Source organism: Homo sapiens, chromosome 10 (assembly GCF_000001405.40).
Source record: "Homo sapiens chromosome 10, GRCh38.p14 Primary Assembly".
NCBI lineage: Eukaryota > Metazoa > Chordata > Mammalia > Primates > Hominidae > Homo > Homo sapiens.
Window position 1 is genome coordinate 67,324,704 of NC_000010.11, and position 18,446 is coordinate 67,343,149.

The 18,446-nt window shown below is 38.2% G+C and overlaps 1 protein-coding gene and 1 pseudogene across 8 annotated transcripts in view, besides 1 other annotated feature; one reads left to right on the forward strand and one right to left on the reverse strand.

The window, feature by feature from the left end:
- CTNNA3 (catenin alpha 3) overlaps positions 1 to 18,446 on the reverse strand; it is a 1,851,072-nt gene that overhangs the window by 1,412,181 nt on the left and 420,445 nt on the right. The window lies entirely within an intron of this gene.
- Positions 2,805 to 3,305: an enhancer, noted in NCBI's record as "H3K27ac hESC enhancer chr10:69087266-69087766 (GRCh37/hg19 assembly coordinates)". NCBI's record gives its function as "activates a minimal SCP1, AML or CMV promoter by ChIP-STARR-seq in primed H9 embryonic stem cells {active_cell/tissue: H9 hESC(primed)}" and the evidence as "EXISTENCE:reporter gene assay evidence [ECO:0000049][PMID:30033119]".
- On the forward strand, positions 9,420 to 10,185 carry RPL7AP51 (ribosomal protein L7a pseudogene 51; annotated as a pseudogene).

Sequence of the window (18,446 nt, forward strand, 5' to 3'; positions counted from 1 at the left end):
TTTTTTTTTTTGTCTTGCCAGATTTTGGTATCAGGATGATGCTGGCCTCATAGATGAGGTAGAAAGAAGACCCTCCTTCTCACTTTTGTTTGGAATAGTTTCAGCAGTAATGGTACCAGCTCTTCCTTGTACATGTGGTAGAATTCAGCTATGAATCCACCTGGTTCTTGGCTTTTTTGATTGATAGGCTATTTATTACGGCTCAATTTCAGAACTCATTATTGATCAATTCAGAGATTCAGTTCTTCCTGGTTCAGTCTTGGGAGGTTGTATGTGTCTAGGAATTTATCTGTTTCTTCCAGATTTTCTAGTTTATGTGCTTAGAGGTCTTCATAATACTCTCTGATTGTTATTTGTATTTCTGTGGGGTCAATGGTAATGTGTCCTTGTTGTTTCTGATTATGTTTATTTGAATCTTCTCTCTTTCCTTCTTTATTAGTCTAGCTAGTGGTCTATTTTATTAATTTTTTCAAAGAAATGGTTCCTGGATTCATTGATCTTTAAATGCTTTCTCGTGTCTCAATCTCCTTCAGTTCAGCTCTGATTTTGGTTATTTCTTATCTTCTGCTAGCTTTGGGATTTGTTTGCTCCTGGTTCTCTAGTTCTTTTAGTTGTGGTGTTAGGTTGTTAACTTGACATCTTTCTAACTTTTTGATGTGGGCATTTAGTGCTATAAATTTCCCTTTTAACACTGCCTTAGCTGTGTCTCAAAGATTCTGGTATGTTGTATCTTTGTTCTCACTGGTTTCAAAGAACTTCTTAGTTTCTACCTTAATTTCACTGTTTACTCAAAAGTCATTTAGGAGGTTATTCAATTCCCATGAAATTATGTGGCTTTGAGTGAATTTGTTAGTCTTGATTTCTCATTTTATTACACTATAGTCCATGACATGGTATGTTATGATTTCAGTTCTTTTGCATTTTGTAGAGAATTGTTTTACTTCTGATTATGTGATCAATTTTACAATGTGTGCCATGTGGTCATGAGAAGAATGTATAATCTGTTGTTTTGGGGTGGAGAGTTCTGTATATATTTAGCAGGTACATTTGATCCAGAGCTGAGTTCAGGTCCTGAATATCTTTGTTATTTTCTGTCTTGATGATCTGGCTAATATTGTTAGTGGGGTGTTAAAGTCTCCCCCTATTATATTGTGGGAATGTAAGATTCTTTGAAGGTCTCTAAGAACTTAGTTTATGAATCTGGGTGCTCCTGGGTTGGGCACATAGGTATTTAGGATCTTCTTGTTGACTTGACCCCTTTACTATTATGTAATGCCCTTCTTTGCATTTTTTGATCTTTGTTGGCTGGCTTAACATCTGTTTTGTCAGACACTAGGATTGCAACCCCTGCTTTTATCTGTTTTCCATTTGCTTGGTATATTTTTCTCTATCCCTTTATTTTGAATTTATGTGTGTCTCTGCATGTGAGATGGGTCTCTTGAAGACAGCATACTATGATTTTTGGTTCTTTATCTAACTTGCCACTCTGTGCCTTTTAATTGGGGCATTTAAGCCATTTACACTCAAGGTTAGTAATGATATGTGTGGATTTGATCCTGTCATCATGACGTTACCTGGTTGTTTTGCAGACTTGTTTATGTAGTTGCTTTATAGTGTCACTTGTCTGTGTACTTCAGTATGTTTTTGTAGTGGCTGACAACAGTCTTTCCTTTCCATATTTAGTGCTACCTTTAAGAGTTCTTGTAAAGTAGTTGATGGTAACAATTTCCCTCAGCATTTGCCTGTCTGAAAAGGATCTTATTTCTCCTTCATTTATGCAGCTTAGTTTGGCCGGATAAGAATTTCTGGGTTGAAATTTCTTTTCTTTAAGAATGTTGAATATTGGCCCCCAATTTCCTCTGGCTTGTATGGTTTCTGCTGAAAGCTCCACTGTTAGTCTGATGGGCTTCCCTTTGTAGGTCACCTGACCTTTCTCTCTAGCTGCCTTTAACACTTTTTCTTTCATTTCAACCATGGAGAGAATCTGATTATTATAGGTCTTGAGAATGATCTTCTTGTGAAGTATCTTAGGGGTTCTCTGCATTTCCTGAATTTGAATGTTGGCCTCTTTAGCTAGGCTGGGGAAGTTCTGGATGATATCCTGAAATATATTTTCCAAGTTGGTTCCATTTTCCCCATCTCTTTCAGGGACAAAAATGAGTCACAGATTTGGTCTCTTTACATAATCCCATATTTCTTGGAGGTTTTGTTTGTTCCTTTTCATTCTTTTTTCTCTATTCTTGTCTGAATGTCTTATTTCAGACAGCCAGTTTTCAAGCTCTGGGATTCTTTCCTCCACTTGTTCTATTCTGCTATTAATACTTGTGATTGCACTATGAAACTCTTGTAGTGTGTTTTTCAGCTCTATCAGGTCAATTAGATTCTTTTCTAGGCTGGCTATTTTGACTGTCAGCTCCTGCATCATTTTATCATGATTTTTAGCTTCCTTGGATTGGGTTTCAAAATACTTCTGTAGCTCAATGATCTTTATTCCTATCCATATTCTGAATTCTATTTCTGTCATTTCAGCCATCTCAATCCAGTTCAGAACCCTTGCTGGAGAGGTGATGTGGTCATTTGGAGCAAAGAAGGTACTCTGGCTTTTTGAGTTATCAGGGTTCTTGTGCTGATTCCTTCTCATCTTTGTGGACTTACCTTCCTTCAATCTTTAAAACTGCTGACCTTTGGATGGGGTTTTTTTCCTTTTATCCTATTTGATGACCTTGAAGTTTGATTGTGGTATAAAGTGAATTCAGCTAACTGCCTTCATTTCTGGAAGATTTTACAGGGCCAATGCTTAGCTCCCAACTCCTGGACTGCATGCTGTAACTCTGGGGGACTTGTATTGAGCCCCAACTTTGTTCTCTGGCTCCTTGAGGTTAGGAATCCACTTCACTGGGGAGGTGGGGGAGAATGAGGTGCTCCCAGACCACTGGTCAGTACACTCCAACGGGTGGTGTCAGCCAAAGTGTTTCAGAGTGCGATGACAGTGGGACCCATTCTTGCTCACAAGTGCCAGTAGCAGCAGTAGCAACAGCTGTGGCATAGTGGGTGGCAGGTGCCAGGATGCCTGCCTCCCTGCAAGTGTTCACCACAGTGGCAAAGTCAACGCAGCTGGGGGGCCTCCGCTGGTGACTGTGTGTGTGGTCACCCTGAAGGTGGTGTTTTGGCTCAGGAGTGGGGCACTGATGGGTGCAGGTCTGGGTGTATAGGTCTCTGTGCCTCGCAAGCAGGAATGATTGCTCAGGCATGGGAGGATCCACCATTCTCTGCAGAGTGTTACCATAAGGGCAGAGCACTGGCGGGGGCAGGGCTGGCTGACTCTGTGCCCACCAAGACTCTGTCTGCAACAGAGGTCAGTGGGGAGAGGAAGGGTAGACTGCACACCCAAATGCTGATGGTCAAGAAAAGCAAAACCCACCTCCACAGACACATGCCAGCAAAGCAATGTGGGGAGTTGCCTTAGGCCTAAAGAAAGCTGCAGTATGGGAGGGAGCATGGGGGTTGGTGCATGGCTGTAGGGGCCATCCTGCTGGAGCTCTCTACCAGTCAGGCACAATCTGCCAGTGCAGAAGCTATGGTGTGGGACCCCAGGGCACCCGAGGCTGCTCTGCAAGCAGGTGTAGCCAGGCTGGGGCTCTGGGAAAGGACAGCAGACCAAGGGGTTCTCAGGTCAGACTGGCCTCGTCTGATGGGCAAGACCACCCTGCAGAGTTCAGGACTGACAGTTCCCCTAGTCCTGCACCAAACTCTTCGGGCTCCACATCAGCTGGCTGCTGCCCCTAACCCTTCTCTAAGCAGCTCTCCATGCCATCTTGAGTGTCCATAGTGGTCAAGGGGTCTCCCCCTGCCAGGGTTCCAGAGGCCTGTGGCAAAAGCAGTTTGCTCCTTGCCAGTGCAACTCACCTGTTCCCTCAGAGCCACTGGGGGCCAGGAATGAGTGTGGGTATACTGTAGCCCCATGTAGCGTTTCCAGCTTTCTCACCCTTCAGCCCAGCTTCTGCGTCTTCCCTCTGTCCATTCTTAGTGCCTTTATCTCTGAAGATGTGTTAGGAGTGTGTCAGTCATCTGAGTCCCTTCATGAGAGCCGTTCCACCTGCCTGCGTCTAGTTGGTCATCTTGTCCCCCACCAATTCTTTTTCTTTTTTTATGATTAATAGGATATTATAGGACTTATTTGGTTTTGAAACTTTTTCAATATAAACATACATAAACACATGTACTTTTTCATTGTACCATAAATGTAGCATAATATTAAATATCAGAATTCTGATTTGTAACATCCAGATAAACCCATAAGTGATTTTTCCAGTAATCACTCTTTCTAATTGATTTATCCATTGATCCTACCCCACTGATCTAATGTTTAATATAAAATGGCAAATGGGCTGGGTGCAAGGGCTCATGCCTATAATCCTAGCATTTTGGGAGACCAAGGTGGGTGGACCGCTTGAGCTCAGGAGTTCAAGACCAGCCCGGACAACATGGGAAAACCCATGTGTACTAAAAATACAAAAATTAGCTGGGCATAGTGATGCATGCCTGTAGTCCCAGCTACTTGGAGTGCTGAGGCAGGAGGATCGCTTCAACCCAGGAGGTCAAGGCTGCAGTCAGCTGAGATGATGCCACTGCACTTTAGCCTGGGTGACAAAGTGAGACCCTGTCTCAAAAATAAAATCAAATAAAAGTCAAATGGTAATAAATAGTAACATACTTAAAGTACATTTGGTTTGCTACATGGATGTGGCAAGGGAGTTTTACCTTGATACTTGTAAGTTGTATTCTAATATTTGGATCTTCCTCATTACTTTAAGAAAAAAGGAAAACCACTCAGGCCCTGTTGCCCAATTATTTTACATTTACAGCATGATTTTGAATGTAGAATATACATACATATTGTCACTGTTCTTATAAAGTAACTCAAATAGATGATTCTAAATATTAAAATGGGAAGAGATAAAAAACTCAAATCAACAAATATTTACGGAGGGCTTACTATGCACAAATAGTGAAGCTACTTACAATCCACATTGTTAAGTAGGTATGAAATGAGCAATTAGCTGCAAGTTAAAGACACTCAAAATCACAGTGCTTCAAATGAGACAGAAGTTTACTTTGCTTTCACAAAAAAAGTCTGGAGGTAAAGTGCTCCTGAGCTGATGTAGTGGTTCTGCTTTATAAAATACCTAGGAACCCAGGCGTCTTCCAACTTCTCACTCCGCCACCTTAGGTGTGGCCTTATCCTCATAGTCCAAGATGCCAGCTAGAGTTCCAACCATGACATCCACATTCCAGGCAGCAGGATAGAGCCAAAGTGTGCAGGTAGACTAACTTTTATGGAAGTTTGCAAAAGTTACCCAATAAAAATTTCACTTATATGTCATTAATCTTACTTGCATCTCAAAGCATAATTACAGCTGCAAGGGAAACTGGGAGGTATAGCTGCTATTACTGTTGGTCATTAATTTAGCAGGATTCTGTTTTTAGAAGACAAGGACAATTCATATTGGAGGCAACATCTCACTGTCACATCTCTCTCCTGCATGTTTCCCAAAACTCAAATTTCTGAATGTTCTGTGTCTATTCTGCCCAGCCATGCTGTAGGAGGCAGCATGAAGCAGCTCTTAAATATTTCTATATTTAAACTGCCTGGATTTGAATACAGTCTCCAATGGGTCCTCATCTGTGAAATGGAGATAACAGTAAGATCTACTCCTAGGAGCTGTAAAGATTAATCAGTTCGTACATATAAAGCGATTGGCACAGTGACTGACACACTGAAAGATAAGCGCAGCATATATTACTATCATTATATCAATTTAGTCAAGAGGAAATGGAAGTAACTTAACTACAGGCTTAATAGCTTCCTACACAGGATCATGGGAGGCAGTCAGAAGAACAGAGTTACCACTACAGTTTTCATGGTGAGTCCTGCTGCCACCCCAGTACCGTCCATAAAGAAAATAGAGAGGAACTGACTTGTATAAAGTGTCATTTTCTAAAAAAAAAAGCTCCTTATTCATACCACATTAATAAAGTTAGGCAGAAAATCTAAACATACAGATCACTCCCCAAACCTTCCTCAGACGATACCTGGGATAAACTGGTATTTCACCCTGCCAAAGAGAAGTAAAATACGGATAAAGGAAAAGCAATTACGGCAATTTGTTAAAGGCATCCAGCACCAAAGCTAAGATCTGAATTCAAAATCCCTCCCCACTAATCCTGTGGACAAAATGGTGGAATTCATACTTGCTGAAACCACCTTTACTTATAAATATTATGAAAATACTTTAAACCACAAATCAAGCAATAAAAATCAGGTTTAGGGGGAAATTTTCTGGGTATTTTTTTCCCACACACATTCAAAATTGCTTTTAAGTCTTTACTGACAAAAGTGACATTGTTTTTTAAAAATAAATTGGGAATACAGAAACTGCCAGATTACTGTGTTGGAGTAGTGTTGCTGGGATATCACCTCTCTTCCATATTTCCCAGTCTTCTAATGTTAAATTTAGGCTCCTGTTGGCAAACTGTTTTTCTTCTTTTATGGCACAAAATGATTATCTTACTTCAACTGCCAAAGTCCAAGCTTGAGACATGCAGGATAAAGAAAAGTGAATAAACTGCTGTGTTTCCATTTTCCAACATCACTTGCAGGCAGCAGGAAGTCACAAGCATAAAGTCACAGGGAATTATCACAAAGACAAAACAATTCATTTAAGGCTATTTAGAAGCATATTTTTTTATTTTTGCTCCCAAATGTTGTCTAGTCATAGTATTGTGAGAATCAACAAAGGATTCTCCTCCAACTGGGGGAGGGCCGGGGGAGGGACAGAATGGGCTAGTTCAGATTTGGAACAGTGACCTAGAAGGCAGTTCTATCACTCAGCTATTCAAGTGATGTGGCCATCTGAACATCTTTCCCTTCCTTGGTAGCAGAGTGAGATGAATATATATGTGTTAACATTCTTGAGATGAGATATAGTATCTTTCCTAGCCAAACATAACTTCTCCAAAGCCAACTTTTTCCACATGCTTTAGAGTAAGAAAGATAATATTTTTAGAGATGTTGAGAACTTTTAGGCTTTATCACTAAAACTGAATTCACCCAGTGAAGAGGAACCCTAAGGAAAATTTCAAACATAATGTCTTCCCAGTGAATTTCATCTTTACTCCTGAATCTGAGGCAATAGGCTACTTTCTCCCTTATTAAACATAAAGAAAAATAATTACTTAATGAGAGAATATATAGCCATTCTCAATAAAAGCAACTGGGATTCCACAAACATTACTATGTCATGACTGAATGAATGAAGTGCTAAGATAAAGAGTTTAGAAAGAATGAAAAACCTAATTACTTATAGGAATCTGTGTGATTAAGTCTAGAAAAATAAAAGGAAGAAAAGTGCATTAGTCTAATGAGATGTAGACAAAATATTTAAAATTGGCTCAAAGTGTTTGGTTGAATTATCTTGAATAATAAAAGATTAAATTTCCTAGAAAATCTTTGTTCCAAAGTAAAATGATTTTCTGATTCATGCTTTTGAAACTTTATAAAGTGAAACAAAAGGGCATTTTCCTATTCTTTTTAGTGTTGAAAAATGGTAACTGGGCCTCAGCAGAACTGAATTTGGGAACCTAAATGGCAAACCTAAAAATTCACTTAAAGAAGGTGAATTAGGAAACTTTGTTCCTCATAACAGAGCTCCAGTGCTTGAGAACTAAAGCATAAAACTACTTTCTGTGAACTGTAGAGATAGATTTCTGTAAGATGTCTGACTCCTCCATTAGGAACTAGTGATCCACATTTTTAAATAAGCAGGAGGTTCATGGATACAGATCCCATTTTTTGAGAAATGTTGACCTAAACAACACTTACCTGTTCTGTTGATGCAGAATGAAATCAGGTAAACTGCCCTAAGCTTCCTCAAGATCTACTCAAGCTCAGTTTATCCTGTTAGCCTATATCTATCTCTTTTTCTTTACACATTTTTTAAAAGCAATTTTCCCTAATTTCATATCCCATGATTTGGAGTCGATTGTCCACTCTCAATAAGAAGGTATTTCTCCTACAGCTCTAACTCTGGAACTGTTTTATGAAAGCTTGCAAACAGTTAGTAAGCATTACACTCACCTCTGAAAGATTTTTCCTACCTGTAATTTAATTTAGCTCCAAGCTATAGCACGTGAATGCCCCTGCATTCTTTATATGACTCTTTACGTCAAGTCTCTACACACTGGATTATATGAAGATCCCCTATGATTCACACAGTCAATAAATAAATCAACAAAAATGTAGAAAGGAAGGAGGAGGATCCAGTTTTAGATAGTAAAGATCAGAAAGAATAGTCTACATACTTTATCAAAGCGTACTGCAATGAAAAGTGTAAGCATGACTACTTTCAAATGCAGATTCCTAGCATGTTCATTTCCTTTGTTCTTCAAGTATTCATGGAATTAAAGAAACAGGAAACAATCAGTTATGTATATTAGTGCTTCCTTCACTGCACTAGGTCATCATAAGCTTCTGATGACCAAACAGAACTAAGACTAAAATGGCTGATGTTCCTAAAAACCTCCCAGTTGACCCAGATAATAAGCTAGGATCAAAAATAACAACAAGCCAATGCAGCTTTTTTCTCTAAGAAATTCTGTTATTGCTGTTATTAGATTTACAGTTACATTGGGATGCTAAGATTTCTTGCTGTATTTTTATGGTAATTGCAGTTTTATATACATAATATCATCAACAGCTCATATATTCTGTGGGCTGGTTTTATGCTGGGTTGGATTTAAATGCTCTTCAAGGAACTGTACTTTTTTGTCCCCATTTAAAAAGACTGTAGACAGGTCAGATAATAATAGCAATAACTCAGAAACCTGAAGATTAGAAAATTGAATAAGGCTGATTCTAAAAAGGCATGGAAATTTCATACCCATGCTATTTTGTTGGCTCACTGAGTACATGATGGAGTAAAAAGAACATTGAAACTAAAATCTGGGAACATCAGCTCTAATTTCAGCTATCACACTGTCCTTTAAGGTCACTGGCCTCCTTGGGCCTCAGTTGCCTCATGTGAAAAATGAGAGGTCTACTAGATTATACATGGCACTTACTTTCATCTCTCACATCAATTACAATCAACTGATAATGGCTGGCTGAAGCACTGTGTTAAGAAGGATTATGAGGCTGATTCTGGACAAAAGTAGAGTGTCATGGGTGATTTGCTAAGTCTTCCATAAGGACATTGAGGAAATAGCTGTACATATGCAATATATTTTCCTTATTTGACCCAAAGGACCACTAGGATTTCCTTTAGTTACAGTCTATAAAGCATATTTTACAATAAAATATCATAAGATCCTTTATACAAAATGTTTGGTCTTGTTGCTTCCTCCAGCCACCCAAGCTGCTGAAAGGAAAGAAGGCCAAGGCAGAGAAGGTGGTTCTAGTCCCTTATCATAAAGAAGCAGAAGGCCAACAAGGTGGTGAATCCCCTGTTTGAGAAAAGGTCTAAGAATTTTGGCATTGGACAGCACATCCATCTCAAAAGGAACCTCACTTGTTTTGTCAAAGGGCCCCACTGCATCTGGCTGCATCAGCAAAAAGCTATCCTCTATGAATGGCTGAAAGTGCCTCCTGCAATTAACCAGTTCATCTAGGCTTTGGACTGCCAAACAGCTACTCAAATGCTGAAACTGACCCACAAGTACAGAGCAGAGACAAAGCAAGAGAAGAAGAAAGCTGCTGGCAAAGAAGATGTTCCCACTAAGATAACACCTGTCCTTTGAGCAAGGGTTAACACTGTCACCACCTTGGTAGAAAACAAGAAGGCTCAGATGGTAGTGACTGCACGTGATGTGGGTTCCATCAAGCTGATTGCTGAGGGCTCGCCCTGTATCCTAAGATGGGAGTTCCTTACTGCACTATCAAGAGAAGGCAAGCCTAAAAGACATCCAGTCCCCAGGAATACTTGTGCCACTGTGGCCTTCACACATGTTAACTCAGAAGACAAAGGAGTTCTGGCTGAGCTGGTGGAAGCTATCAGTACTAACTACAAGGTTAGATATAATGAGATCTGTCAGCACTGAGGAGGCAACATCCTGGGTCCAAAATCTGTGGCTTGCATTGCCAAGCTAGAAAAGGCAAAGACTAAAGAACTTGCCACTAACCTGGGTTAATGTACACTGTTGAGTTTTCTGTGCACAAAAACAATCCAAATTCTTTAAAAAACAGCTTGGTTGTATAGATTATCTATAAAATGATTTCTATATTGAAAATCACTTAACTTCATGACACTGTTTCCTCAATAGTATACACACACACACACACATATACACACACACATTGATGAGAAAAAAAAATCTACTGCCAGCCAGAGCCACTGTCAGTATGGGGTTTCCACATTCTCCCCATCTGTTTGAGTTTTCTCGTGGGACACCAGTTTCCTCCCGTATCCCAAAGATGTCCACATTAGATTAATTATTGTATCTACAATGTCCAAGTTGGAGTGAGTGTGGGAGTGTGTGTATGAGTGAGGCTGCAATGGAATGGAGTCCTGTCAAGGGCTGGTTCCTGCCTTGCACCCTGACCTGCCAGGATAGGCACCAGCCACCCACAACCCTGAACAGGAATAAGCAGGTTGGAAAATGAATGAATATAAATTATTGTAAAATAAATTTATTTTGACACCAAACAGTGGGGTCCAAAAGTGCTCAGCAAGCCTGCCATATTTATTGTTTGTTTTTGAACTGTGTGGTGATAGGAGGTGCTCCTTATAATTCTCACTTTGCAAACATTTATTCCTTGATTCAACCCATCACCACTACAACCACTATCACTCACTGATTCACCAAAACTTGGGTAAATAATTATCTTACTTGTTTTTATTAATCTTTCTTGAATGTATGTTTGGCTCACATTTATTTCAATGTTTAATATTAAAAGTGTTTTGAGTCTTTACTTAGAAGTTTGATATTTCTATGACAAACATGCTGTAGGAGCTTACTGCTTGTTTATGTAAATTAGCCTAAGGTAAAGTTAGTTTTATTACATATCATTTTGCTTAAAGTTGTAGTCTCCAAGAACCTATCGACAACGTTGAGAACTTACTGTGTGTAAATGTGTGTATATAACCTTGTTTTATTGTGCCTCACTTTATGGCACCTCACAAATAGTGTTTTTTTTTTTTTTTACAAATTGAAGGTTTGTGGCAAATCGGTGTCAACTGCTATTTTTCCAACACCATGTGCTCACTTCCTGTCTCTGTGTCACATTTTGGTAATTTCCACAATATTTCAAACTTCTTCATTATTATTATATCTGTTACAATGATCTGTGATCTATGTTACCATCGTAATTGTTGTGGGGCACCATGAACAGCACCCATAAAAGAAAGTGAACTTAATTACTCAATGTTTTATGTGTTCTGGCTGCTCCAATAACCAGTTGTCCCCATCTCCTCCATCTCTCCTTCTCCTAGGGCTTTTTTATTCCTTGAGATACAATGTTGAAATTAGGCCAATTAATAATCCTAAAATGACTCTAAGTGTTCAAATGAAAGAAACTGTAGCAGGTCTGTCACTTTCCACCAAAAGCTAAACATTTCCTTAAGCCAAAACCTAACCCAGAGCAAGACCTACCTCTTTTCAATTCTATGAAGGCTCAGAGAAGTAAGGAAGCTTCAGAAGAAAAGTTGGAAGCTCGCAGAGGTTGGTTTATAAGATTTAGGGAAAGAAGTTTCCTTCATAACATAAAAGTTCAAGGTGAAGCAGCAGGTGCTGAGGGAGAAGCTGCAGCATATTATCCAGGAGATTAGCCCAGATAATTGATGAAAGTGGCTACACTAAACAACAGATTTTCAGTGTAGACAAAACACCCTTTTAGTAGAAGAAGATTCCATCTAGGACTTTCAGAGCTAGAGAGGAAAAGTCAATGCTTGGTTTCAAAGCTTCAAAAGACAGGTGGACTCTCTTGCTGGGGCTAATGCAGCTGATGACTCTTAAAGTCATCAACTTAATTGAAGCCAATGTTCATTTACCATCTGAAAATCCTAGGGCCCTTAAGAACTGTGATAAATCTACTCTGCCTGTGCTTTATAAATGTAACAAAGCCTAGATGACAGCACATTTGTTTATGGCATGGTATACTGAATATTTTAAGCTCACTGTGGAGACCTACTGCTCAGAAAAAAGATTCCTTTCAAAATATTACAGTTCTTTGACAATGCACCTGGTCACCCAAGAGCTCTGATAGAGATATACAAGGAAATAAATGGATTTTTCATGCTTGCTAACACAACATCCATTCTGTAGCCCATGGATCAAGGAGTAAATTCAACTTTCAAGCCTTATTATTTAATAAATACATTTCATAGGCTATACCTGTCATAGATAGTAATTCCTATGATGGACCTGAGCAAAGTAAATTAAAAACCTTCTAGAAAGAATTCACCATTCTAGATGCCATTAAGAGCATTCACGATTCATGGGAGGAGGTCAAAATCAGCATTAACAGGAGTTTGGAAGAAGTCAATTCCAACCTGCTTGAAAAACTGTGAGGGCTTCAAGACTTCAATGGCAGAAGTAACAGTAAATGTAAGAGAAATAGCAAGAGAACTGGAATTAGAAGTGAAGCCTGAAGATATGGGTAATTGCTGCAATCTCATGATAAAACTTGAATGGAGGAGTAGTTGCTTCTACTGGGTGTGCCAAGAAAGTAGTTTCTTGAGATGGAATCTACTCCTGGTGAAGATGCAGTGAACACTGTTTAAATGACAACAAAGGATTTGGAATATTACATAAACTTAGTTGATAAAGCAGTAGCCGGGTTTGAAAGGATTGACCACAATTTTGAAAGAAGTTATATTATGGGTAAAATGCTATCAAACAACATCACATGCTATAGAGAAATTTTTCATTAAAGTAACAGCCAATTAATAGGTCTAACTTCATTGTGGCCTTATTTTTAAGAAATTGCCACAGCCACCCAACATACGGCAACTATTACCCTGATCAATCAACAGCCATCAACATTGAGGTAAGACCCTTCACTAGCAGAAAGATCATGATCCACTGAAGGCTCAAATGATCATTAGCATTTAGCAATAAAGTATTTTTAAATTAACATATGCACAGTGTTTTTGGATATAATGCAATTGCACACTTAATGGGCTACAGTATAGTATAAACATAACTTTTATATGCACTGGGAAATCAAAAAATTTGAGCGACACTTTATTGCAATATTTGCTTTATTGCAGTAGTCTGAAATAAAACACACAATATCTCCAAGGTATGCCTCTATATATAAAGAGAGGGAGACCTAGGAAAATACTTGAAATGTATTAATTAATTTGTTTCATCTTCAGGAGCCAGATTGTGTTAGGCTATTCTTGTACTGCTGTAAAGAAATACCCAAGGCTGGGTAATTTATAAAGAAAACAGGTTTAATTGGTTCACAGTTCTGCAGACTGTACAGGAAACATGGAGCTGGCATTTGCTTCTTGTGAGGGCTTCAGTGAGCTTACAGTCATGGCAGAAGGAAAGGGAAGCTGGCTTGTCACATGGTGACAGCATGAGCAAGGTGTGGGGGGAGGTGCCATATACTTTTAAACAATCAGATCTCATATGAACTCAAAGCAAGAACTCCCTCATCACTAAGGGGAGTACACCAAGCCATTTATGAGGGACCGAGGGACCTGCCCCCATGATCCAAACACCTCCCACCAGGCCACAGTTTCAACACTGGGAATTACATTTCAACATGAAATGTGGAGGGGACAAACATCCACACCATATCAGAGACCAATTCTTCTCTTTATTATACAAATGCCAATAAAGCCCAGGAGAGAAAATAACAGAAAAAAAAATTGTAGCTAATGGCAATCACTGATAAGGAATCATAAATGAGACTCAGAATATCTTAAAATAGTTGTGCAAATGACAGGAAAATCAAAACAACCTTCTTCCAGTAAATGTCTCATGAAGCAATTGTGTATAAGCAAACTGCAGTAGCTTGCCTACAATAGCTAACAACATCATCTCACTTAAGATGGATGAGGTAAAAGACATTTCTGCCAATCTTGCTGTAGCCACCAAAAAGCAAAAAATATGTAACAGTCTTTTCGATGTCAACATTTCTTTGATGATATCTGTAAACATTTGTTTCCATGTAACAAGCAACCTATTCTTCAACCAATGAATACAGCATGAGATAAGAGTCATAAGACTTGAAGTTTGCTCCCCTCTTTCATGGAATCATTGGGGTCTTCATAACCCACCTAACCTCAGCTGCCTCAATAAATTATGAAAGTTGACCAATATTTCTCTTCTAGCTCATAAGAAAATGAATTGAAGTCTTGTAGAATGGAGAAGTGGCTGAGTTGCAAAAATCCTTGGAGAGGCTCTAGACCAGGTACTGGTTGTCACCTTTACATGGCCATGGTGGGCTTCTTGCAATCACTCATTCTTCAGGATAAATTCTATCCCTGAGCAAAGAAAGCAAAATCTTGTCCTTATTAAGACTATATTTTTATTGTCTTTTTTTTCCAAAGTGGACATAAATCCTAGCTTACCTATTAGTAATGCACACATAATCACATCAAGTTTGGGCAAAGCTAATGACTTATCCAATATCACATGGTGGTTCAATAAAGAAATTAAATATCACAATTCCCAGATCTTGTTCCAACTAAATAATGGCAATACTGAAGCAAAATTAGGATATACACGATATATCCTAAGGATTATAGGCAAACTCAAAAGCCTACAATGTTTAGTTGTTGGAGTTAGAGTGACAATCAGAAATGTTAATGTTTATCCAACTCCGGTATTCCATAAAATATCCCAGTTTCATGTCAAATAAGTTATACCTACAATACTTTTTACTACGGAGAACTAGAAAAATCTAAAATGAAAAGAGAACTAAATACAACATGTTCTGATATATTATGCTCTAGGCAATGATCATGTTCCTAATTTACAAAGTCCATGAAAAGAATACTCTTATGTTGAAATAGCTGTTATTAAAAGTGAGTGCTCTTACAGTGAAAATAGATCAGATGTAACATATCTCTAAGAAATTATTGTTGTTCTAGCCATTACTTTGTGAAGATGTGCTTTGTTTTGATTGATTTAGAAAATTGTAATAAATAAGAACTGTTCAGTTGGAATATGATGTTTATTCCTTATGCCAATATACGACCAAAAATATTTTCTCACTTCAGCCTAGAAAGTGAGATGTGTATTATTTATCTCCAAATAAATGTGTAAAAAGATGTGTGCTTTCAGTTTTTCTTCTTTATCCCAAAATATTTAAATGCCTAATAAAATAATATTGTTCATTAATATATTAATTGTCCTGCTTATATTTTCAGTATCCAATTAGTCATTTCAAGTATGAGATATAGAAAAGAATGCTTGGAATGTTTGCTATGGCTTTGTACAAATAAAATATAATACCTAACAAGGGCAGGAGGAAGGAGGAGGGATTTATAAGTTTGCTTATTGTATTTTTAAAAGTCAAATTTCATTTAAAATTATGTTTAAATAATATTACCAGAATATTCCAAAATAAAAGTCAAAGGTAAGAAAAATAATGTTAAAATCTTCTCAAATTTATGAAGAAAAAATGAAGTAAAAAATAAAAAATCTTGTGAAATTTATCTGGTCTTTCCTGAAGCTCTTTGGTATCTCCATAGACATGGTTTGAATGCAAAAAACTGCCCATGCAGTGTCTATGATAAGATTGCCTTTAACACACTCAGCATGCTAATATATCAGGTTCAAAAAATGATTTCATAATTGTTTTACTTAAGACTAACAGGCAAAGATTGTCCTGAATTTGCTGCTCTGCTGTGTTTTTGTAGGACCAAATCCCAGGTGCAGTTTGGCCTCTAAGAGGCATAATCTGCTCCAGGAAAGCCAATCAGGAAGTCTTCCTTTTAACTATGGCACAACCGTTCAGATTCACCTGCTACTGCTGTTTCCCCAGAACTTCTACTCTAATTGAATGTATCAAGTTGTTAAGCAATTTTACATAAGATGTGGCTTAAAATAAGTAGCTTTTTATATAGAATGAAATGTTCTGATGAATATAGTATTACACTTTGAAAAGGAAGAAAAACATCTAGTGGATATTGTCATGTTTGATATTTCTTTTTGGTGTCAATGGAAACTGAATAGTACATTTTTTTCAACTTTTACTACATATTAAAGGGATGGAGGAAGTAGAAGCGTAAACAGAGTAAACAGGGATGGCAAGACAAAGGAGTGTTAAGTCCTCGAGGATTTTACAATCTAGTTATTGAAATAAGACATATAGGTTTTTATTTATTTTTTCAATTTTTAATTTTTGTGGGTACATAGTAGGTATAAATATTTATAGGGTACATAAGGCATTTTGATACAGGCATGGAAAGCATAATAATCACATCATGGAGGATGGGGTATCAATTGTCTCAAGCATTTATCCTTTGTGTTACAATCAAATTACACTTTTAGTTATTTCAGAATGTATAATTAAATTATTATTGACTATAGTCACTCTGTTGTGCTGTCAAATAGTAGGTCTTATTCATTCTTTCTACTTTTTTTTTGTACCCATTTACCATTTCCATCTCTGCGTCACCTCCCCACAACTACACTTCCCAGCCTCTGGTAACCACATTCTACTCTCCATCTACATGAGTTCAATTGTTTTGATTTTTAGATCCCACAAATAAGTGAGAACATGCAATGTTTGTCTTTCTGTGCCTTGCTTATTTCACTTAACTTAATGATCTCCAGTTCCATCCATGTGGTTCCAAATGACAGGATCTTATTCTTTTTTATGGCCAAATACTACTCCATTGTGTATATGTACCACATTTTCTTTATCCATTCATCTGTTGATGGACACTTAAGTTGCTTCCAAATTTTGTCTATTGTGAACAGTATTGCAACAAACATGGGAGTCCAGATATCTCTTCAATATATTGATTTCCTTTCTTTGGGGCATATACCTAGCAATGGGATTGCTGCATCATTTGGTAGCTCTATTTTTAGTTTTTGAGAAACCTCAAAACTGTTCTCTATAATGGTTGTACTAATTTATAATCCCACCAAGAGTGTACAATGACTCCCTTTTCTCCATATCCTCATTAGCATTTGTTATTGCCTGTCTTTTGGGTATAAGCCATTTTAACTACGGTGAGATGATGTATAATTATAGTCTTGCTTTGCATTTTTCTGATGAGCAATGATATTTAGCACCTTCCATATGCCTTTTTGCCATTTATGTGTCTTTTTTTTGCCTCAAACTCCATCTATTCTACATAGCTATTCCAGTTTTCTTTTGATTCGTAGTTTCCCAGTATATATTTTTTATTCTTTTAATTTATTTATTTTTCTTCTTTTTTTTTTTTTTTTTTTTTAGACAGAGTCTCACTCTGTCGCCCAGGCTGGAGTGCAAAGGCGCGGTCTCGGCTCACGGCAAGCTCCGCCTCCCGGGTTCATGCCATTCTCCTGCCTCAGCCTCCCGAATAGCTGGGACTACAGGCGCCCACCACCATGCCCGGCTAATTTTTTGTATTTTTAGTAGAGACAGGGTTTCACCGTGTTAAGCCAGGATGGTCTCAATCTCCTGACCTTGTGATCCACCCACCTCGGCCTCCCAAAGTGCTGGGATTACAGGCGTGAGCCACCGCACCCGGCCTGTTGGTTGTATCTTTAGCTGAGTGAATGATTTGCAACTTGACGTGATCCCATTTGTCCTGTTTTGTTTTAGGTGCCTGTGCTTGTGGGGTGTTACTCAAGGAATCTTTGCCCACTCCAATGTCCTGGAGATTTTCTCCAACGTTTTCTGTAGTAGTTTCATAGTTTGAGATCTTAGATTTAAATATTCAATCCATTTTGATTTGATTTTTGTATATGGAAGAGATAGGGGTCTAGTTTCATTCTTCTGTACATGGATATCCAGTTTTCCCAGCAGCATTTATTGAAGAGACTGTCTTTTTTCGCCAATGTATGTTCTTGGCACCTTTGTCGAAAATGAGTTCACTGCAGGTGTGTGAATTAGTTTCTGGATTCTTTATTCTGTTCCATTGGCCTGTGTGTCTGTTTTTATGCCAGTACCATGCAGTATTGGTTACTATAGCTCTGTAGTAAATTTGAAGTTAGGTAATATAATTTCTCCAGTTTTGTTTTGTTTTGTTTTTTTCTTTTTTTGGATGGCTTTGGCTGTTCTGGCTCTTTCGTGGTTCCACATAATTTTCCTTTTCTTTTGAGTCTGACTCTTGCTCTATCACCCAGGCTAGAGTACAGTGGCACGATCTTGGCTCACTGCAACCTCTGCCTCCCACGTTCAAGCAATTCTTGTGCCTCAGGCTTCTGAGTAGCTGGGATTACAGGTGCACCACCATACCCAGCTAATTTTTGTATTTTTAGTAGAGACAGTGTTTCAC